Here is a 23,673-nt window from a genome sequence, read left to right as displayed (position 1 = left end):
TGCGCTGTTGTTTCATTAGTGTTAAGCAGCAGTTGCCCTGTGAAATTAAGTCTGTAAACTTTAGTGGCAACATTAGTTTTTAAAAAGAACAAAAGGGTCTTAATATATGGGTTTCGTTATATTGTGAAACAAACCATGCATTCTATGAAGATACTTACAAGTGAAGGGTGTATTTCCATATAATGGCAAATTCTAGAATATAGTCAATATCCTTTTTAATCTGATAGTGCCATAATTGTCTGTTGCTTTAAATAGTTCTATATTATGACTTGCTTGGAAAATATCATTTTTTGTCATTTTTCAGAGTTAGGGCATTTTTCTGAGTTTTGACTTTTTATATTCTATTTTTATAATATGATTATTTCTGTCATTCTTCTTCCTACCCTACTTTGACCTTCAATAACCCAACCCACCCATTCACACATACATACTCTCACATGTGTGCATGTATACACACACAGACACACACCCACACGGACACACACACAAAATGCATAAGACATAGATTAGGATAGGGGATAGAGTTAATCCCAAATCATAAACTTGTGAGGGATGAATTACAGACATCTTGTAAGCGTTCAAGCAGAAGAGATTAAAATCAAATGATGGGGAGGCATTTTAGATTGTATATAAGATTAATATGCCCCTGTTTTTAAAGTTACTCAATCTCTTCTTCCTCTGCTGCTTCTTCCTCCATCTTTTTATCTGCCTCTCTGTATCCGTCTCCCTCTTCTTTTCCTTTTTTTAGTGTTCCTGTTTGCTTTTGGTTGTGTTTTTGAATAGACTCTTCTGTATTGACCCATAGTGGCTGAATGCTTTCAATGGTCTCTAGTGGAAAAATTGCATATGTTTACTCACACTTTTTTTTGAGGGGAGAGGGCAGGATGGGAATAGGGGATGTAAAATGTATTAAGTTTGCTATTTAGAGAAAAATAACTTCAGAAAAAGATAAAACACACATCAGGCCTATAATAGACTGTTTGCAAGATGGTGGCCACAATACCTTCCTTGGCAGTTTGCATGGTGACTCACTCTTACCTTCAAGCAATGGAGTCCATTTCCCTTTCCCTTGAATCTGAGTTAGCCTATTGAATTTGAAAAATAAAATGTGGCTCAACTGACGTTATTGTGAATTCTGCTCCTAAGCCTGGGAGCTTCTATTCTTGCACACTGAGTCTGCCCTGTGGAGAAGTCCAGGCAAGCCTCCTTGAGAAACACAGGTCACACAGAGATAGCTAGTAGCCAATAGCTGGCAAGTAGCCAAAACTGGTAGCCAGTGATGTGAGTGAGGCCATCAGTCCCAATTAAGCTATCAGATGACTTATGTTACTCGAATGGCTCCGGGCAAAACTACCAAACTAAATGCTCAGCTGAGCTCAGGTCAAATTCAAAATCATCAGATAATAAATTCTTTGTTTAAGCTATTTATTTTGGGGGTAGTTTATGCAGCAATAACACACACAAACTTTTTAAAAATTAATATAATTACTTTTAATTTGGAAAATTATATATATTTATTGTATACAACATGATGTCTTAAAATATGTACACATTGTAGAATGAATAAATTGAGCTAAATAACATATTATATCACATGCTTATTTTTTGTATGGTGAAAAAGCTTAAAATCTATTCTCTTAGTGATTTTCAAGAATACAATGCATTATTAATTATAGTCACCATGTTGTATAATAGATCTCTTGAACTTATTCTTCTTGTCCAACAGAAATTCTGTATCCTTTGACCAACATCTCCCTAAACCTCCCTCCTCACCCCCCTGGTAACCACCATTCTATTCTCTACTTCTATGATTTCAACTTTTTTAGATTCCATATGTAAGTGAGATCAAGTGGTATTTGTCTTTATTTGTCTGGCTTATTTCACTTTACAGAATGTCCTTCAAATTCATCCAGACTGTCACAATTGAAATAATTTCCTTCCTTTTCAATGGCTGCATAATATTCCATTGTGTGTATATACCACATTTTATTCATCTGTTGTTGGACACTTAAATTTGTATTGAATATCTTGGCTATTGTGAATAATGCTGCGATGAACACAGGAGTGCAGATATCTCTGACATACTGATTTCGTTTCCTTTGACTATATGCCCAGTATTCCTATTGCTAGTTCCTATGGTAGTTATATTTTTAATTATTTGAGGACCCTCCATACTGATTTCTATAATGGTTACAGTAATTGACATTCCCTCTGTCAGTGTGCAAGGTTTCTCCACATCCTCTCCAACATTTACCTTTTGTCTTTTTGATAATACCTGTTCTAATGAGTGTAAGGTGATAGCTCATTATGATTTTAATTTGCATTTCTTGGATGATTGGTGAGGTTGAACACCTTTTCATATACCCATTTGCTATTTCTATGTATTCTTTTGATAAATGTTTTTTCTGATCTTTGCCTATTTTAAAATTAGGTTATTTGTTTTCTTGCTATGGAGTTGTTTGAGTTCCTTATACATTCTGAATATTAACCTCTTACAGATGTGTGGTTTGCAGATATTTTCTCTAGTCCATGGATTGTCTCTTCTTCCTGTTGATTCTTTCCTTGGCTGTGCAGAAGCTTTTTAGTTTGAATTGAGCTCATTTAATTGTTTTCACATTTGTTGCCTGTGCTTTTGGGGTTATATCCAAAAAATCATTGCCTAGACCACTGTCATGGAGCCTTTTCCCTGTGCTTCCTTCTAGTAGTTTTATGGTTTCAGGTCTTGTGTTTAAGCCTTTAATTCATTTTGAGTTAATTTTTGTAAATGGTGTGAGATAAAGGTTTAATTTCATTCTTCTGCATAAATCTAGTTGTCCCAACACCATGTATTGAAGAGACTGTCCCTTCTTCATTATGTGTTCTTGGCAATTTTGTCAAAATCAGTTGACTGTAACTGCATGGATTTATTTCTTGACTCTCTGTTCTGTTCTGATGGGATATGCGTTCTGTTTTGATGCCAGCACCATGCTGTTTTGATTGCTGTGCTTTGTAGCATATTTTGAAGTTAGGTAGTGTGATGCCTCCAGCTTGTTCTTTTTGCTCAAGATTGCTTTGGTTATTGAGGGTCTTTTGTGATTCCATATAAATTTTAGGATTTTTTTTTCTATTTCTGTGAAAAATGTCTTTGGAATTTTGTTAGGACTTGCACTGAATCTGTAGATTGCTTTGGGTGATATGGACATTTTAATAATATTATTTCTTCTAGTCCATAAACGTAGGATATCTTTCCATTTATTTGTATCTTCTTCCATTTCAAACTCAGTATAAAAAAAGTACTTAAAAAAAGTAAGTAACTGCTTAAAAATGTGAGATATCTTTTTTGTTGTTGTATAAATGTAACAGTCGGCTTTTGCTTTGATAACAATTCAAAAATCTCAGTGGCTTCTAGCAAGCATTATTCATCTGCGTTGCATGAGAGCTGTGGGTCAGCTTTGGATCAGCATTGCTCTTCCATATTGTGCATTGGCTATGTGCCTGCTCTATGTGGCTTATTCTGCTAGGATCTAGGTTGAAGAGACAGTTTTGTAGTGGATACTGTGGTGCCCAATCCAGGCCCACTATTTAAGGACCACATATGTATCCACCACCTGACTGGAATATCAGCTGCCATGTAGCTGACATCTTCACTCCCCACTGGGAATTTCCCTTTGCCTTAGGGGAACTGTCTCAGCCAAGGTTGTGCTTCCTCTGAGTAGTGGTCCATAATCAGTGACTGACTGTTGCAAAAGCACAAAGACTGGAGTTGGCTTAATTTGGACAACTCTGTGCATGTAATTTATATACCTGTGACTAAGAATATATTTTGTGTGTATGAGATCAAGAGAGGTAGCCAAGAGGGGCCATCCCAGCCCTGGAGTAAGGATCAGCTGAGACCTCAGTTGCAAGTACTTTAAGTTTTAGGGTCCCCCTCTGCCTTTACAGTAGTTTCTTTCAAGAGCACTCCTCAATAAACCTTCTTCATTTCAGATTTTGTCTCTAAGGAGCCCAAGTTAAGAATGACCCTTATCTGGGACATTCTGTTCACATTAGTGAGGGCAGAAACACAAGAGACTTAGCTAGACCATGCAATTGTATTCAAAACTTTGGTACGACTGGTCATATGTCAAGTTTTCTCACATTTTATTGGCCAGAAGTCACAGGGCTAATTAAGGAAGGGGAGGTAAGCAAGTGCTTACAAACAGTAGTATAGTTTATATGTGTATTCTACCTCTCTTGATCTCATACACACAAAATATACTCTTAGTCACATGTACATAAATTACATCCACACCCTTAACAAGAACTATGCCCCAAAAGTTCTTATCTAATCAAGTAATCTGACTGGAAGTCTGAGATTTTATTATAGTCTCTACAGCTTATGGCAGAAGTACAAAAAACTAAACCAAACCACTAAAGCTGAGAGTGAATAATGAATATTTGCGAACAAAAATACCATTTACCCACATGAATTAGCTGTTACCACAATAATTCTATGTAGAAAAAAGCCCCCCTCCCCAAATTTCAATAGTCTAAAATAACATATGTTTATATATCTCTCACTCTGTCACATTGGCTAGGGTGGTTCTGCTGAACTAAGTTTTGTTTGTTCTTTTTTTTTTTTTTTTTTTTTTTTTTTGAGACCAGGTCTTGCTCTGTGGCCTGGGCTGGAGTATAGTGGTGCGATCATGGCTTACTGCAGGCTTGAACTCCTAGGCTTAAGGCTCAAGTGATCGTCTTACCTTAGCCTCCCAAGTAGCTGGGACTACAGCCATGCACCACCGTGCCTGGCTAATTTTTAATTTTTTGTACTTCCAGGCTGGTCTCGAACTCTGGGGCTGAAATGATCCTCCTGTCTCAAGCCTCCCAAAGTACTGGGATTATAGGCATGAGCCATCATGCCTGGCCTGTTCATATTTTTATGGGTCAGCTGGGAGTTGGCTTATCTAGGCTGGGCTGGTATGGTTACTTTGCTCAATCTGCAGGACTGTCTGGCTCTATTGTTTCCATATGTCTCATGGTGGAACTGATTCTGAAGGAGAAGCTCCCTGATGGAAATTATTCTCATGCCAATTGCAGGGATGCAAAGAGATAAGAGGCAAACACACAAGGTCTCTTAAGATCTTGTATTGCTACTGGAATATTACCACTTCTGCCTCATACTGTTGGCCATAACAAAAAAACATGGCCAAACCCAAGTCAAGGGTGGGGAATTATCCTCTGCCTCATTAGTGGGAGGAACTGCAGTGTCACATGACCGAAAGCATAAATACAAAAAAGGGTGAAGAATTTGGGCCAATAATGCAATCTGTCATACCACCAAACCTCACATCCATTAAGCATTGTAAATGCCCTCTAGTTTTTAGTTGCCTTTCAAATTAGAAACAGGAAATGTAAACTGTCACTTTATTGCTTATGAATAAATTATACCTCTAATTACTGCCTAAGTGAAGGAGCCGTTTGTGAGACCCAATAACACACAGAGGTGGGAAATATAATGAAATTCTTCAAGAGTGTACCGTTCAATTAAAAGAACTCAGATATGTATTTGGAAATGTAGTGAAGAGTATCAGTTAGTTTTGTCTAGTAGTAATCTGTATGCTTCTTATTCCATGGAATCTCTGTCTGCCACTTGATAGTTTCTTACCTTGGGCAAATTAACTGCCTTCTCTAAGTCTCAGTTTCTTCACCTGTAAAGTTGGAATAATGGTTTCTACTGTATAAATCTATTGTAAGGAATCCATGAGATAAGGCCAGGCCCTTAGCAAAACTCATTAGATGCTACCCATTGAGCTCTGCAGTTAGGTTAGTGTTGTTGTCTTTATTATTCACTACATGTGACTTTTATATAAATATAAAAATATAGGACATATATTATATATGTAAATATATATGATATACATATGTTTATATATGTAAGTCTCATGTAGTGAATAATAAAGACAACAACACTAACCTAATAAGAGAGATGCTGTATGCTAAAAGAACAGAGAGTTGGGAAGAATTAAAGGAAACTGAGGTAGAATGATCAAGGAAGGTTTCATATGAATGTAGGATTGATGACTCCTCCAGATTTGGAGAGTTGGAAGTCAAAGTACAGGATTTCTGGTTGAAAAAATCTGGCCTGGCATGCTCTTAAACCCACGAATCACTTCCATGGTTGGATTTGAGAGTGTGTTTTAGCGGCTACTTGGTGAATTTTAGTTGCTATAGTGAAAGGCCATGATTTGGGTAGTGTTGACTACTTGAATGTTATTAGAGTGTGAAGGTAAATCTGAGGTCATGGCCTGTTTTGAATCTAAAGTAATAGACTGCACACTGGGGGGTTGGATCTGGGTGAATTATCTCTGTAGATAGCTTTTAACTTTCATTCAAAAAATCTTATAAAGCAAGTCTTAGAATGCATTTTACCAGTGAGACTAAAAAGATTCATAGAGTGCCTCAGGTCAAATAACAGGTTAATGACCAAACCAGAAATGAAACCCATATTTCCCACGTCCAGAAGCAGTGCATTTTTCATTCTAGAACAGCCTCCACTTGGAAGAAAAATTTATATAACTGTAAATGGGAACTATTGCTTTTTCCTCCGTAGTGATTGTGAGTGAACTTTTCTACTGATCTCAGACCCCAAGTTGGTCCCACTTTTCTCCACATTTATAGGATTTCATCTATAGGGTTGAAATTGAGTTTGCTTTTCAGGACGTCTTTCAACTCCCCTATTCACCTTAAACCTTTTTTCTTCCTTTCTTTCCAAGGCTCTCCCTCTTTCTCCGCTCTTTAGGTCAGAGAGCCCTTGATTGTCCCACTCTTCTTATCCCACATATGATTAATTCATTTTTCCTTCTCTTTTTTCTTCCTCACTTGTAAAGAGAGAAACATGGAGATAAATAAAAAACTGTCATCAACCAACTGTGCTTTCCTTTTCATTGCCCTACATTTATGCCTGGAATGCTCTTAATGGTTTTCTTTACTTCTGTCAAGATCACACCCATCCTTTTTAAGGTTCAACATAATGTTCTCTCTTCATGTCTCTGTAGTCCCATCAGCATTATGTAAAGATCTAGACCTATCTATCCAAATGTTTGCCTTATTGCTATTGAGAAATCATTGGGAGTCATTACTCACCTCTGGGAGAGGGTGCATCTTCTCTGCCCCATTGATGTTGGAAGGCTTGGTCAGGTGACTTGCCTTGGCTGATGCAATATGAACATTTCACATTCAGTTAGTCATTTCCCACAGAGGCTTTGGTGGCTTGTACATGGTTTTTTGTATCCTATTACTATTACCTATCACTGCCTGAGCTCTGCCGCCTGTCAGGTCAGTGGTGGCATGAGATCCTCATAGGAGTGCAAACCCATTTGTGAATTGCGTATGTGAGGGATCTACATGTGGCATGCTCCTTATGAGAATCTAATGCCTGATGATCTGAGTTGGAGCAGTTTCATCTCCAAACTATCCCTGGCCCCCACCTGGTTCATGGAAAAATAGTCTTCCATGAAACCGGTCCCTGGTGCCAAAAAGGTTGGAGAGTGCTGACCTGGGTCATTCTTACTCATCTACCAAGTTTCAGATTAAATGGCACTCTCTTGAACAGATGACAGTCTTTTGCTCTGCTTTTCTTTATCACTCATTACCCTTATTTCATGTCTGTTTTCCAAATTGAGCAGTATCAAAGCAGGAAACTTGTATTTCTTGGCTACCCCTGTATCCCAGTGCCTGGCATAGAGTAGGTTCTCCAAATTACTGAACAAATTAGATAAAATCCATAAATAACCTACAAACCACTCATGATCTCTCCCTGCTTGAATTCTTGCAACCATTTATGTAGTTCAGATTTTTAGCATCACTCAATGTGGATTAATTATGTGTTAAGTGTTATGCTAACCACTTCAGTCCTTACAACAAATGAGCAGTGTAGCTACCTTTCTTATGATGCTTTTCATATTGCTTCAAAATAGTTATATTTAGATTTTAAAAATATCTCTACATCTAAATGTTAACTCTTTGTTATGATAGCAATTATTATACTGTATTATATTTGCCTTTTGCTTGCCTGTATACCTATCTAAACTGCGAAATTTCTCTGAATGCTGGTCACCTGTGCCCAGCACACTACCTGGATCTTACTAGACATTTCATACATATTTGATGACTAACTAATCATATTTAAGCTCACATTAAATGGTTGATATTACTAGAATTAATGTTATCTTAGTGCCTTATATGTAGTAGATGTCTCAGGAAGTATTTTTCATTGATTTTTTTATAGAATTAGTATGAATTTCTTACTATATTAAAGGACACAGTAACTTTCACTATAACTTAAAATCACATTATATTGAATTCTACTGTAAATTTATTGATTATCTATGGCTTGGGCCAGGGAGGTCAAGACTTCAGTGAGCTGCGATCATGCCACTGCACTCAGCCTGGGCCACAAAAAAAATAAAAATAATTTTTAAAAATTTACTTTATTACCTACAATTCTTTGTGGGTTTGGAGTTTGAAGAAGGCTCTTCAAAGACATCTCATCTTTGATCCATATGGTGTTGGTTGCTATAGCTTGACTTGGGCTGGAGAATCCAAGATGTCTTCACTTACAAGGTTGGTGCCTCCGGTGGGGCAACCGAAATGGCTGGGATCTGGATGGCTTGGTGTCTCTCACTTATCATCATCCAGCTTTCCAGGTTTGCTTTCTTTTCTCTTATATTCCAAGAGAGGGAAGGTGGAAGCTGGAAAATCTCTTAAGTCTAAGTCTGGGACTGGCAGAGCATCACCTCCCCACTTTATGTTGGTTAAAGCATGTCATAAGGCCAGTCTAGAATCAAGAGTAGGAGAAACAGACTCTACTCTTTCTGGGGAGGAGCAGCATGATGTAAACCATAAAAGGAATCATAGGCTATCATCTTTATAATCTTCCACTCTAAGGAACTACTTGAGCCCACATATTTCCTTTGTTTTATTCTAGAAGCTTGCAAGATACACTTAATTGTTATGGGTAGTAGGAAGTTTTATATCTGATGTCTTTTGATTTACTGAAAGTGAACATGACTTGTAAAATTTGAAGAAATTTTTTCAGCTCCTAGCTGACTTTTCCTATTTTCTTCATCATTACCACATTTATTTTTAGTATTGCTAGAGTTATCTAATTTTTATGATTAAGAACAATAAACAGAAACTTCTCTTGATGAGTAAATTAGAAGTATCACCTGCAAAGACGGCTTTTAACATTGTAAGCTTGTTTTAAATATGTTGTGATGATGTTTGATTGGCTTTAAAATTTCCATATGCAAAGTACAAATCCCTGAAAAAGAAACTCCCCAGTCCACAGTAATGCAAGTTAGCAAGAAGTTTTCTTCCTATATGAGTGCTGCTCTAACTTCATTTGTTTTTAAAAATAAATGTGCTGATCAATATCATGAATAATTAAGTGAAAGGAGTTGTGGGATTTGGGGCTGTTTTCTTTTTAGTAATTGTAAATTCCATTTCACAAAGCCACAGCTCAGTAGCTAGAAGGAACCACGTCTGGGTTACTCTTTATTCATTAAAAAAACTGCCTGATAACATGTAGTTCTAGAAAGATTTTTGCTTAGGGAAGATCTTTGAGTGCAGAGAGTTTTTACATCCATTAAATCATGTGAAAAGGTTTAATAGCTAACGAAATCATTATTCTAAGGACAGTGATAAACTCTTTCTGAAATAGTTATAAAAGATGATTTTCTGTTTTAGAACTAAAGTGAGTATGAGTCTGATTTAGAGAAGCTTGTGTACAAACAATATGCATTAACAAATTTTTAAATGTCAGACCTGTGAACTAATGGGTAGAGACTGGAGTTTCCTTCCCCCCTCTCATTAAGTTGTAACCTTAGAATTTTATGTAAATGGAATGGATGGAGTGTTTAAATTGCCTACTTGCCAGTGTCATTAGGAACATGGGAGGGATCCAACTGAATTTCAGGGCAACATTGGTCATACTTCACTGGAAGGTAACGGGATTACTCCCAGGTCGTTTGCTGTCCTTATGGCACATAATGATGTTAATGTTGAAGATGTTGGATCTCTGCCTCTTAAATAGTAATATCTTCTGATGATGGAATTATACCATTTCCAGATTGAAGAACCCGTGGTGGTCAAGTCCATTGCACATTTTTATTTTATATTCACTGATTTGTGTAGGGGAGAGGCCCACTGATTTCAATTTTGATACTGTATTTTGAGGTGTTTTTTGGTATGCATTGTTTACTCCTTTTTTGAAATAAGAAATACAGTTTTGGAAGGGATCCAGTTTCAGCTTTCTACATATGGCTAGCCAGTTTTCCCAGCACCATTTATTAAATAGGGAATCCTTTCCCTGTTTCTTGTTTTTCTCAGGTTTGTCAAAGATCAGATAGTTGTAGATATGTGGCATTATTTCTGAGGGCTCTGTTCTGTTGCATTGATCTATATCTCTGTTTTGGTACCAGTACCATGCTGTTTTGGTTACTGTAGCCTTGTAGTATAGTTTGAAGTCAGGTAGCGTGAGGCCTCCAGCTTTGTTCTTCCAGCTTAGGATTGACTTGGTGATGTGGGCTCTTTTTTGGTTCCACATGAACGTTAAAGTAGTTTTTTCCAGTTCTGTGAAGAAAGTCATTGGTAGCTTGATGGGGATGGCGTTGAATCTATAAATTACCTTGGGTAGTATGGCCACTTTCACGATATTGATTCTTCCTACCCATGAGCATGGAATGTTCTTCCATTTGTTTGTATCGTCTTTTATTTCATTGAGCAGTGGTTTGTAGTTCTCCTTGAAGAGGTCCTTCACGTCCCTTGTAAGTTGGATTCCTAAGTATTTTATTCTCTTTGAAGCAATTGTGAATGGGAGTTCACTCATGATTTGGCTCTCTGTCTGTTTTTGGTGTATAAGAATGCTTGTGATTTTTGTACATTGATTTTGTATCCTGAGACTTTGCTGAAGTTGCTTATCATCTTAAGGAGATTTTGGGCTGAGACAATGGGGTTTTCTAGATATACTATCATGTCGTCTGCAAACAGGGACAATTTGACTTCCTCTTTTCCTAATTGAATACCCTTTATTTCCTTCTCCTGCCTAATTGCCCTGGCCAGAACTTCCAACACTACGTTGAATAGGAGTGGTGAGAGAGGGCATCCCTGTCTTGTGCCAGTTTTCAAAGGGAATACTTCCAGTTTTTGCCCATTCAGTATGATATTGGCTGTGGGTTTGTCATAGATAGCTCTTATTATTTTGAGATATGTCCCATCAATACCTAATTTATTGAGAGTTTTTAGCAAGAAGGGTTGTTGAATTTTGCCAAAGGCCTTTTCTGCATCTATTGAGATAATCATGTGGTTTTTGTCTTTGGTTCTGTTTATATGCTGGATTACATTTATTGATTCGCATATATTGAACCAGCCTTGCATCCCAGGGATGAAGCCCACTTGATCATGGTGGTTTCCTTACACCTTCTACAAAAATTAATTCAAGATGGATTAAAGACTTAAATGTTAGACCTAAAACCATAAAAACCCTAGAAGAAAACCTAGGCATTACCATTCAGGACATAGGCATGGGCAAGGACTTCATGTCTAAAACACCAAAAGCAATGGCAACAAAAGCCAAAATTGACAAATGGGATCTAATTAAACTAAAGAGCTTCTGCACAGCAAAAGAAACTACCATCAGAGTGAACAGGCAACCTACAAAATGGGAGAAAATTTTTGCAACCTACTCATCTGACAAAGGGCTAATATCCAGAATCTACAATGAACTCAAACCAATTTACAAGAAAAAAACAGCCGCATCAAAAAGTGGGCAAAGTATATGAACAGACACTTCTCAAAAGAAGACATTTATGCAGCCAAAAGACACATGAAAAAATGCTCATCATCACTGGCCATCAGAGAAATGCAAATCAAAACCACAATGAGATACCATCTCACGCCAGTTAGAATGGTGATCATTCAAAAGTCAGGAAACAACAGGTGCTGGAGAGGATGTGGAGAAATAGGAACACTTTGACACTGTTGGTGGGACTGTAAACTAGTTCAACCATTGTGGAAGTCAGTGTGGCGATTCCTCAGGGATCTAGAACTAGAAATACCATTTGACCCAGCCATCCCATTACTGGGTATATACCCAAAGGACTATAAATCATGCTGCTATAAAGACACATGCACACGTATGTTTATTGCGGCACTATTCACAATAGCAAAGACTTGGGACCAACCCAAATGTCCAACAATGATAGACTGGATTAAGAAAATGTGGCACATATACACCATGGGATACTATGCAGCCATAAAAAATGATGAGTTCATGTCCTTTGTAGGGACATGGATGAAATTGGAAATCATCATTCTTCTCAGCAAACTATCACAAGGACAAAAAACCAAACACCGCATGTTCTCACTCATAGATGGGAATTGAACAATGAGAACATATGGACACAGGAAGGGGAACATCACACTCTGGGGAGTGTTGTGGGGTGGGGGGAGAGGGGAGGGATAGCATTAGGAGATATACCTAATGCTAAATGATGAGTTAATGGGTGCAGTGCACCAGCATGGCACATGTATACATATGTAAATAACCTGCACATTGTGCACATGTACACTAAAACTTAAAGTATAATAATTAAAAAAAAAGTAAAAAAAAAAAAAAAAAGAAAAAAAGAAATACAGTTTTGGATATCTAACCCTAGTACTATGTGTTTAATAGTGCTAGAGACTGGTGGAATTGTCCATTAGCAAACAACTCTAGAGCCTAACAAGACCACACAGACTACACTAGGAAGTGCACAACAGACTCAGTGCTTACAATCTATTCAGAGTTTGCCTGCCCTTCTCAGCGCATCCCCATCTCTTACTGGGTATGTAGCTAGGAGAATAAAATGTTTTGTTTGGAGTTTCATATCTTCTCTTCCATGCTGCCTACATCTTCAATCCCCTCTGTGGCCTCCATTCAAAGTCTTATATTTTTTCTCCACCTCCATAGAGTGAATTATCAGTCACTCTGTTCCAAGTTACTCTGTTCTAGGGTGGCCCAGAGGTGGGAGAGTATTGGGAGAAGAGATATATATTTAATATTTCTTTTCTATTAGAATTTCCAAGTCCGTGAGGCATTTCTCACACAGTGGGCTTCCTCTTAGCAGATGCTAAAATAATAAAAGCAGCAGCTAATATTTATCCCATTTGTCCCAATCAAGAAACAGACCCGTAAACAATTTCACCCTCCTAACTACGTAGCCTTGGAAAGTTAAACTTAACTAAGCTTCAGTTTCCTCATCTGTATAATCAACCTGTCATAACTCTTGTGAAATTAAAAATAACAGTTTCTGGCACAGAGGTACTCGATCATTGATAGTTGTAATTATTCTACTCAAACAGAAGTAGTGTATTTTTCACATTAATGCAAATCATTTCCCTCCATATGAGCACATAGACATTATAGCACCATTAGGAATTCTAGACTAATTATGTTACATTTTTATATTTTTGGAAATTTAAAGTCACACGAAGTTGTCTTCTATCAACCCTCTATGTCTGTCCGTTGTTCTTTGCTGTTTATAAGCAAATCACCTTTGTACCAGAAGCTGTTACGAAACAATAGAGAAAATAGAGTTTGTATTCTTTCAACCACTTACATGCCTTGAAATTTTAGAGAGAGATGATTCAGGAGGCTCTGAGATGAAACTGTCACAAAGCTAATGTATTATGTATGTCAAACCCCAAAAAGTCATTAATTAGCCACAATGCACTATAGACTCTTGTCATAAATTGTTCTAAAGTGAAAACAAATTTGCCAAGCTATAAAACTCTCAGTTAATTTGCTAGTCAGCATTGGTGTGACATTTTCTAAAAACAAAACAAAACAAAAACTCAGCATCCCATAATATATAAATTAGAATATTGAGTCAATTTGCATATTCGTTTATATTTTACAAAGCTAAGTTTATTTTAAAACTATAGTTGTGCCTGGAATATACTAGGTACTGAATAACTGGTAGTTTTATGAAGTGATTAAAGGCAGCAGTTGCTGAATTAGTGAATTTCACTTATTTTTTGTGTAAAATAAGAGAATCTCTTTTTGGGGAGTTTACACAACAAAAATAAGTGCAATTTATGATCAGTGTGACATATAAAATGTAAAGTTTTGTTTAAGGTTTTTAAAAAATCAGTTTATTAAGAACAAGAGAGGTTATTCTAAAGATTAACTTCTTTGTTAGATGTGGGTTAGATGTGACCCACATTTACTGTGAAGGAAATTTCTATCAAGATTTTTCACTTTATTCTCATTTTCCTTCAGGAAAACAGTGACTCAGCATATCACTCTCATGGCCAAGCCATAGAGGCCAGCTACTTTCTGAAGTCTGAGGAACTAGAAAAAGTGCTGGTGTTCCTCTTTTTGACTTCTTAAGTAAGAATCGTTGGATACTGTGTGTATGTGTGTGTGTGTGTGTGTGTTTCATTCTGTTTTTCTTTTTGCCAAGTGATTTTTAGAGTAAGCGTATTTTTTTTAACAATTCTTGAGTCTGATTTGAAGCTGCTGTCTACATAAATCAACATTTCTCATCATACTCTATATTGCAGTCAGTAATGGTGACCTGTTAAACTCCTTTACTCCACTGAGCTTCTAGAACAGGTGCCCTGCTCCTGCCCCCTGCATTTCTTCTCCTCTCTCATTGATCATCTTCCAGTCTGCCTTCTGATCTGGCCACCACAGAAGTGGCAATCCTGAGGATCACAAGCAGTTTCTTAATGTCAAGTTCTGTGGTTGAGTCCTGGTCCTCATTCCTTCTAAGATCTCAGTGGTATTTCTTCATGGATTTCACCACCACTTTAGCTGCTTTGACTTTTATACCACTGAACTTTTGGAGATTTTTTATGTGTCTCCAGCTGCTGCTCTGGCTGGTTGATATTTTAGCCTTCTTCCCTTGCTTGCTGGTAGATTTTTTCTGAGCCTCAGCCTGGACTGAATTTTCTTTCCTCTCTTTTTGCCTGATAGGGAGCCCATCCTCTCTACATCTCTGGTGCTTCTGTGTCCTGATTATCTATCCTGTCTTCCTTGGGCTGAGTTCCACATTGCCAACCAAGGCCCACTATTTCCATCTGAATGTCTCGCTCTTGATTTCAACTCAAGGATGTCTGAACCTGAACTCATCCTTTTTCCCAGACATAGCTTCTTGCCTTACCCTTTCCTATTTCTGTCTCAGGACCATACATCTTCCCTGTCAGGAAAGCCAGAGACCTTGGAGTTACCATTGATTCTTTCCTCACCTCTCCAGGCCACTCACTTATCTCGATGGAGTCTTCTTTGCATTTTTCCTCAGCTCCATCTTGCCAGCTGTTTCCCCGCTTCCAGGCCTTTATTATAGCATTACAGTGACTACAGCTGCTGCCTCTCTGGTCTCTCCTCTCCCCAGATCACCCTACACAGTACTGTATGAATTATCTTAGAACACAGCTGTCTTCACACCACTTTCCCACTGCAAAACTGTAATAACTTCCTGCCTCTTGCAGGGAAATGTAAAAAATAAAAATAAATAAATAAAACACACTCACAAGAAAAAAACTGCCAACCTGGCATTCAAGGCTTCCCACATTTTGACAAACATTATTATTCCTTCAGTTGCTCTTCTTGGAGTCAGTGGTTTTCAAACCTCATTGATATTACTAATAATTTCTAACATCCCCTTTATGTACGGACATGAAATAAATAGAATATGTAACAAACTTACTCACATGACCTCAAAAAAACCAACATAAGGCCCTAAGTATAATAAAAGTAGAAATACGGGGACATTAATTTGTAATATAATCTGTTGTTTTACTCTGTAAATGATTAGCCGTGACTACACCGGAATCTAAGATGAGGTTGCCAATGCTTGCATCTGCTTGTAATAATTAAGCTTGGATTTCAGGGAAATAAGATAGTAGTCAGCTAAATATCTGAGTCATTTTTCTTCATATCTGACATTTAAAATAACTAGTTATGTATATTTGTATATATTTATAGCATCACAGTGAATGTGATGGCTGCAGCAGCAGACCAATATCACTGAGTCAAGTTGTTGACTGGGTTCCCATTGAAGGTGTAGTTGCAACTGTTGATGTGTTTTCTGATATGTTGCACAACTCTTAGTGACATCTGAATGTTATGAATTCAGTCTTCCTTTGATTGGCATAAAAGTTGCATCTTTATGTGTTAAGATAATGCAAATAATTATTTGTAAGCTCAGAAAACAATGAGTAGGTTTTTCTCTCATATGACCATCACTTGAAAGCCATATGGCAATTGCATTGCAGGACATCTAGCCCCATGGCCTGTATCCTCTAAAGACCCTGGTATATTCCCCAATCAATGAGTCAACTAAAATGCCCCCATATGTTTTCCAAAGTGATAGGAGCTCCAAGAGCTGTTGCTCTGAGCACTGCCCAGAGTTGCTCTGAGCACTGCGTCCCTGTCTCTGTGTTGTACATTCATTCACCACCCGTTCTTCTTCTCAAATGCTAATCTGTGCTTAAAGTTTACCATTTGGTCCATTGTCTGCTTAAAAGTGTCTTGTGATAGTTGGGCATCTGTGTTATAGTTGTATATGTTTACTTTACTTTTCCCACATGAATATAGTTCTGTCCTGAATTGGAAAGTATACTTCTGGTTGCAAATGTCAGATACCCAAGTCAAATTGGCTCAAGCCTCTATCCTCCACTCCCTTCCAAATGTATTGACTTTCTTTATTGAAAAGTTCAGGATAGATGTAACTGAGTGGAGTGAGGTCCTGGAGTTTTTGGTTTATTTATTTTTTATTATTATTATACTTTTTTTTATTATTATACTTTAAGTTTTAGGGTACATGCGCACAATGTGCAGGTTAGTTACATATGTATACATGTGCCATGCTGGTGAGCTGCACCCATTAACTCGTCATTTAGCATTAGGTATATCTCCTAATGCTATCCCTCCCCCCTCCCCCCCACCCCACAACACTCCCCAGAGTGTGATGTTCCCCTTCCTGTGTCCATGTGTTCTCATTGTACAATTCCCATCCATGAGTGAGAACATGTGGTGTTTGGTTTTTTGTCCTTGTGATAGTTTACTGAGAATGATGATTTCCAATTTCATCCATGTCCCTACAAAGGACATGAACTCATCATTTTTTATGGCTGCATAGTATCCCATGGTGTATATGTGCCACATTTTCTTAATCCATTCTATCATTGTTGGACATTTGGGTTGGTTCCAAGTCTTTGCTATTGTGAATAGTGCCGCAATAAACATACGTGTGCATGTGTCTTTATAGCAGCATGATTTATAGTCCTTTGGGTATATACCCAGTAATGGGATGGCTGGGTCAAATGGTATTTCTAGTTCTAGATCCCTGAGGAATCGCCACACTGACTTCCACAATGGTTGAACTAGTTTACAGTCCCACCAACAGTGTCAAAGTGTTCCTATTTCTCCACATCCTCTCCAGCACCTGTTGTTTCCTGACTTTTTAATGATTGCCATTCTAACTGGTGTGAGATGGTATCTCATTGTGGTTTTGATTTGCATTTCTCTGATGGCCAGTGATGATGAGCATTTTTTCATGTGTCTTTTGGCTGCATAAATGTCTTCTTTTGAGAAGTGTCTGTTCATATCCTTTGCCCACTTTTTGATGCGGTTGTTTGTTTTTTTCTTGTAAATTGGTTTGAGTTCATTGTAGATTCTGGATATTAGCCCTTTGTCAGATGAGTAGGTCACAAAAATTTTCTCCCATTTTGTAGGTTGCCTGTTCACTCTGATGGTAGTTTCTTTTGCTGTGCAGAAGCTCTTTAGTTTAATTAGATCCCATTTGTCAATTTTGGCTTTTGTTGCCATTGCTTTTGGTGTTTTAGACATGAAGTCCTTGCCCATGCCTATGTCCTGAATGGTAATGCCTAGGTTTTCTTCTAGGGTTTTTATGGTTTTAGGTCTAACGTTTAAGTCTTTAATCCATCTTGAATTAGTTTTTGTATAAGGTGTAAGGAAGGGATCCAGTTTCAGCTTTCTACATATGGCTAGCCAGTTTTCCCACCACCATTTATTAAATAGGGAATCCTTTCCCCATTGCTTGTTTTTCTCAGATTTGTCAAAGATCAGATAGTTGTAGACATGCGGCGTTATTTCTGAGGGCTCTGTTCTGTTCCATTGATCTGTATCTCTGTTTTGGTACCAGTACCATGCTGTTTTGGTTACTGTAGCCTTGTAGTATAGTTTGAAGTCAGGTAGCATGATGCCTCCGGCTTTGTTCTTTTGGCTTAGGAATGACTTGGTGATGCGGGCTCTTTTTTGGTTCCATAGGAACGTTAAAGTAGTTTTTTCCAATTCTGTGAAGAAAGTCATTGGTAGCTTGATGGGGATGGCATTGAATCTATAAATTACCTTGGGCAGTATGGCCATTTTCATGATATTGATTCTTCCTACCCATGAGCATGGAATGTTCTTCCATTTGTTTGTATCCTCTTTTATTTCCTTGAGCAGTGGTTTGTAGTTCTCCTTGAAGAGGTCCTTCACGTCCCTTGTACGTTGGATTCCTAGGTATTTTATTCTCTTTGAAGCAATTGTGAACGGGAGTTCACTCATGATTTGGCTCTCTGTTTGTCTGTTATTGGTGTATAAGAATGCTTGTGATTTTTGTACATTGATTTTTATCCTGAGAGTTTGCTGAAGTTGCTTATCAGCTTAAGGAGATTTTGATGAACATTGATGCAAAAATCCTCAATAAAATACTGGCAAACCGAATCCAGCAGCACATCAAAAAGCTTATCCACCATGGTCAAGTGGGCTTCATCCTTGGGATGCAATATACACAAATCAATAAATGTAATCCAGCATATAAACAGAACCAAAGACAAAAACCACATGATTGTCTCAATAGATGCAGAAAAGGCCTTTGACAAAATTCAACAACCTTCATGCTAAAAACTCTCAATAAATTAGGTATTGATGGGACGTATCTCAAAATAATAAGAGCTATCTATGACAAACCCACAGCCAATGTCATACTGAATGGGCAAAAGCTGGAAGCATTCCCTTTGAAAACTGGCACAAGACAGGGATGCCCTCTCTCACGCCTCCTATTCAACATAGTGTTGGAAGTTCTGGCCAGGGCAATTAGGCAGGAGAAGGAAATAAGGGGTATTCAATTAGGAAAAGAGGAAGTCAAATTGTCCCTGTTTGCAGATGACATGATTCTATATCTAGAAAACCCCATTGTCTCAGCCCAAAATCTCCTTAAGAAGTCCTGGAGTTTTACGATGGTTTTCGGATAACTGTGCCTGTATATCTCTTTTTCTGTCTTTGCTCATGTATCAGTACAACAGGTTAAGTCCTCAAAATCACCTATAGCTTAATGCATCTAGAGCTTATTTCTTCCCATACTGCATATCCACCATAAGTGGCAGATGGAATCTGCCCATTGTAGTTACACAGAGACCCAAGTTGATGGAATCACAATTTTGATGTGTGCTTCCAGTCTTGTAATGACGTAAAAAGGGAACATGATAAGTTGTGCAGTTGTTTTCAAGTTTCTGCCAAGAAGAGACACAAATCACTTCTCCTCACATCTCATTGCCCAAAAACAGTCTTATGGACATGACTATATTCAAAGTGGTGTATAGTTCTATCTAGTGTCTGAATGAGGAGGAAAACAATGACATTTGTAAACAAATAAGCCCTGATGTTGAACTCAATTGGGCTTCCTTTGTATCTATCCTTAACTGCCTGCCTCCTTCTGCCCCCACCTCCCACCCACATTACATTACTCTTATGCTTTTATTGCTTTTTTTCCCCTCCATGGAAATAGAGGTCACTTTCCTATACATACCAAGTAATAAAATTAATTCTTTTTGACTGGGTTTGGACTGTACTTCTCTCCTTGCATCTTTGAGAGACAAGGAGAAATGGGCAAGTCCCACCTGAATTATGTAAAATAAGAGTAGCTGGGAGAGGCAGTTCACCATAGTCAAGTCAAGGCAGGATAGATGCTAGGCAGGCAAACACTACAGATACCTCGGTGTTCCCTAATTAGATTAAGAATTACTTGAGAAAAGACATTTAATATCTTTTTGTCTGTTTTTTTGGTATGTTCTGGGTAGTGTTCAAGATAGGGTCCTGCTTGAGTTATGGCTTTAATCATTCATTCATTTATTATGTTATTAGTAGATAACGTGTACTAACTAATAGTAGTTATTACAGTATGTATTGGGTACTTTCTAAGTGCCTTATGAATATGAATTCACTGAATGCTGTAACCAACTCATGAGGTAGATATTACTATTAACCCCTTTGATTAGATGGGAAAATTGAGGCTCACAGAGGGAAGTAACTAAAAACCAATGTCTCAAAGCTAGACAGTTCTGTAGCAGGGATTTGAACCCAGCCAGTCCAAATTTGTGCTCTATAAATTATAAAGCAATCACTTGATAGAGTTTCTTAATAAATTTTGCCTTAAATTGCGTATTATATTCTTCATCAGTATTGCAGGTTAAAAGACAGAGAAGGCGTATTAATTCTACAAATGAGGGGAAGTGTTTCTGTTAGTCAGTCCAGGTATAGAAGTTTATAGGGTACAATGTATATTTTAGCATTTTCCCTTCAGTCTCTCATTTTATTAATGACTTTATATTTTTTTGATGAAATATTCATTACATGTTTAGTTAGAAACCTCCCCTATCACTATAGAGGAACAAATATTTTCATAAGAGGTTTTCTCAGATTTGGAATCTCTGTAGAAAAATAATTGCCTGGGGCTACTTGCCCTACTTTGTTTGCTGTCTTGTCCTGTGCCAGCCAAGATAAGGATATGTTGCTTTTCTTTGGAGTTTGAAGACACCTAGCAGCTTGTCACAACTTCCAAAATCTTTGAGGAATGAAGTCTGAATTCCAAGACAGTAATTTTACCATTATCCCAGTGGGTTGGTATTCTACTTGATACATGGTAATTTTAACAAGGAAGTTACAAGAAAAGAATTTCGTACTGTGCCTCTGTGGAAAGTTGAAATAAAAGAATGCAATTCTCATTTGTTCTTCTGTAGCTCATTTTGACAGTAAGAAAACTGTCATAAATGGACATGAATAGATCCATTTTTTGTCTATATTTATCCAACATTAAATACATTTTTAGCTTTATTATTTGAAATAGAAAAATCATTAGAGTGTTTTTAAGACAGTCATTTGGTATTTTTGATCATGAATATAAATGTTTTGTCAAGTTAAGTGTCTTGAATTTAATTTTACAGTGTGCCTAAAAGTGTATATATACTTACTATTTAGTGATCAAGTCATCGTGTAACTTTTTGGTATTTGGTCCTACAAAAGATCGATATTACTTTATAAGATATTTTGGGTCAAACAAATATGAAATATGATTCAGTTCATTATACTATATAGGATGGTCACTTACTTGTAATACTTTACTTCTCTAAAACTTGAATTCAAAATAAGAAATCTGATGCAATTTAAGCCCACAAATGTCAATAAATGGTTAATTCTGTAGTTTGCCAAGATTCCTTCAGCTCTTTTACAGAAAATCCATGGAGTTTGGGCTTATATATAGTTATCCTTTAATATTTAAAATAATATGAATTACATACTTCAATTTTGTTTCGATCGTATGTAAATGCAATACAGAATTTACAACTTAATTTGTGATTCTCCCAGTAACTCTAGCTTGGTTTCATTTGCACATGTCCACACTTTGTGATTTATGGATACTAACCCATCAGAATCCTTAAATCTAATCACTCTCCATGTATGTAAAAATGTCAGCTACAGTATTTTATTAAACGTAGATATGCCACTTTCTACTTACCTTCTTTCAAAAAGAATTATAAAATGGTGGAAACACTCTGTATTTGTTACCTGACTGGTTAGATTATAAAGGAACAAAAAGGGAAAGACTTCTTTCTTCTTTCTGGACTTTGGATCCTGTGTAAATATGTGATGCCTGATCTATAACCATCTTGCAATCATGAGGGGATTGGCCAATTTACTGAGGATATTATGATGGAAGATGGAAAGAGCCAGGGTTGTTAATGATAAGATCGAAATCCTGGCTGTACTGCTTCTCCACCTTGCATCTTGGAGCATGACATTTCTATAAGCCCCAGTTTTCTCAACTCTCAAATGGAAGTAATAATAGTATCTATTTAATAGGCATGCTGTAAGGATCATATGCAATAATACATATATAACACGTCAAAGTACATTGCAGACCTTATGTGAAACAAGATGTCTTAGTCTGTTTTTGCATTGCTTTGAAGGAAATATAATACCCAAGTCTGGGTAATACATAAAGAAAAGAGGTTTATTTGGCTCACGGATCTGCAGACTGTACAAGAAGCATGGTGCTGGCATCTGCTTGTGGTGAGGACCTCAGGAAGCTTCCATTCATGACACAAGGGAAAGGGGAGCAGACGTCACATGGTGAGAGTAGAAGGAAGCAAGAACTCACTCGTTACCCTCAGAATGGCACCAAACCATTCGTAAAGCACCTATCCCCATAATCTAAACACTCCACACTAGGTCCCACCTCCTACATTGGGGATAAAATCTTAATATGAGATTTAGAAGGGACAAATATCAAAAGTATATCACAAGATTATAATGGACATGCTGTTTTCCTATATATTATCTCATCTGGATTATAACAACTATGTAAGGTATCAAAGATGAAGCTATGTAAGGTGTCATATTTTATTGTAAAAAATGAAATGCAAAATTCATTGTGTTGTAGAAAATACAAATAAAAAAATCACATGTAATTGTCTAGCCCAGAGATATATTTGATGTAGTTTTTAACAATATTTTCGTTAATATTAGCTTTGCTGTGATTACTATTATCAATATATTGTGATATTGCTAGAGTGTTTATGTGGGAAAGAAATAAGTATTGTTCCCTCCATTTGTCCAAATGAAAAAGCTGAGACTCAGAGAGAATTAGTTCCTTGGTTCAAAAGTCATGCAGATTTCAAGATAAGAACCAGGGACAAGAGCTAGGGCCAGAAGTTAGGTCTGTCTATATATAAAGCCTATGCTTGGAACAACTGCAATTAATTGTTGTCTCTTAGTGCACCCTAAATGAGGGGGAAAAATGGAAAACAAGCAGGAAAAATAGCCACAGCAATTCTGTCTTTAAAATGTATAATCTTCTCTAATAGATTATTTTCATTTTTGAAAATTAAAGTATGATTAATACACAACCTAATGCACAAATCTTGTTTTCACTTTGATGCATTTTGTCAGTTGATTATACCCAGCTAGTCACAGGTACCCATAGAAAGGTATACAAGACTTGCATTCATCCAGAAATTCCTCTCATGGTCATTTCCAGTCAATTCTATCTCCCCAGTTCCCCACGTCCTCCGAGTCAGCCACTTCTAAATCCTGCTACAGTAGAGTTTTGCCTGTTCTCACACTTCATGTAAATGGAAACATAATGTATGTATTCTTTAGAGCCTCGCTGTTTTGCTGAGCATCCTATTTTTCAGGTTTATCTAGGTGTTGTTGCATGTATCACTGGTTTTTTTTTTCATAATTACTAAGAACTTTTCCATTTTAGGGATAGATCATAAATCGTTTATTCCTTCATTTGCTCATGGACATTTGTTTCATTTCAGACTCGAGTTATTATTGTTTGACTTATGTTTACTTAGCTTGTGTGTTTCTTTATTTGGCAT

The 23,673-nt window shown here is 37.2% G+C and overlaps 1 protein-coding gene across 2 annotated transcripts in view, besides 1 other annotated feature; it reads left to right on the top strand.

Annotated features, from left to right (window-relative positions):
* CNTN3 (contactin 3) overlaps positions 1-23,673 on the top strand; it is a 352,092-nt gene that overhangs the window by 7,749 nt on the left and 320,670 nt on the right. The gene's annotated exons all lie outside the window — the stretch shown is intronic.
* Positions 6,636-7,835: an enhancer, noted in NCBI's record as "BRD4-independent group 4 enhancer chr3:74648227-74649426 (GRCh37/hg19 assembly coordinates)". NCBI's record gives its function as "activates an origin of replication core promoter dependent on BRD2, P300/CBP, MED14 and CDK7 cofactors, and independent of BRD4, by STARR-seq in HCT116 cells {active_cell/tissue: HCT116}" and the evidence as "EXISTENCE:reporter gene assay evidence [ECO:0000049][PMID:35650434]".

Source organism: Homo sapiens, chromosome 3, assembly GCF_000001405.40.
Source record: "Homo sapiens chromosome 3, GRCh38.p14 Primary Assembly".
Lineage (NCBI taxonomy): Eukaryota > Metazoa > Chordata > Mammalia > Primates > Hominidae > Homo > Homo sapiens.
The sequence above is the reverse complement of the archived record's forward strand: the minus strand, read 5'-3'. Positions and strand labels throughout refer to the sequence as shown.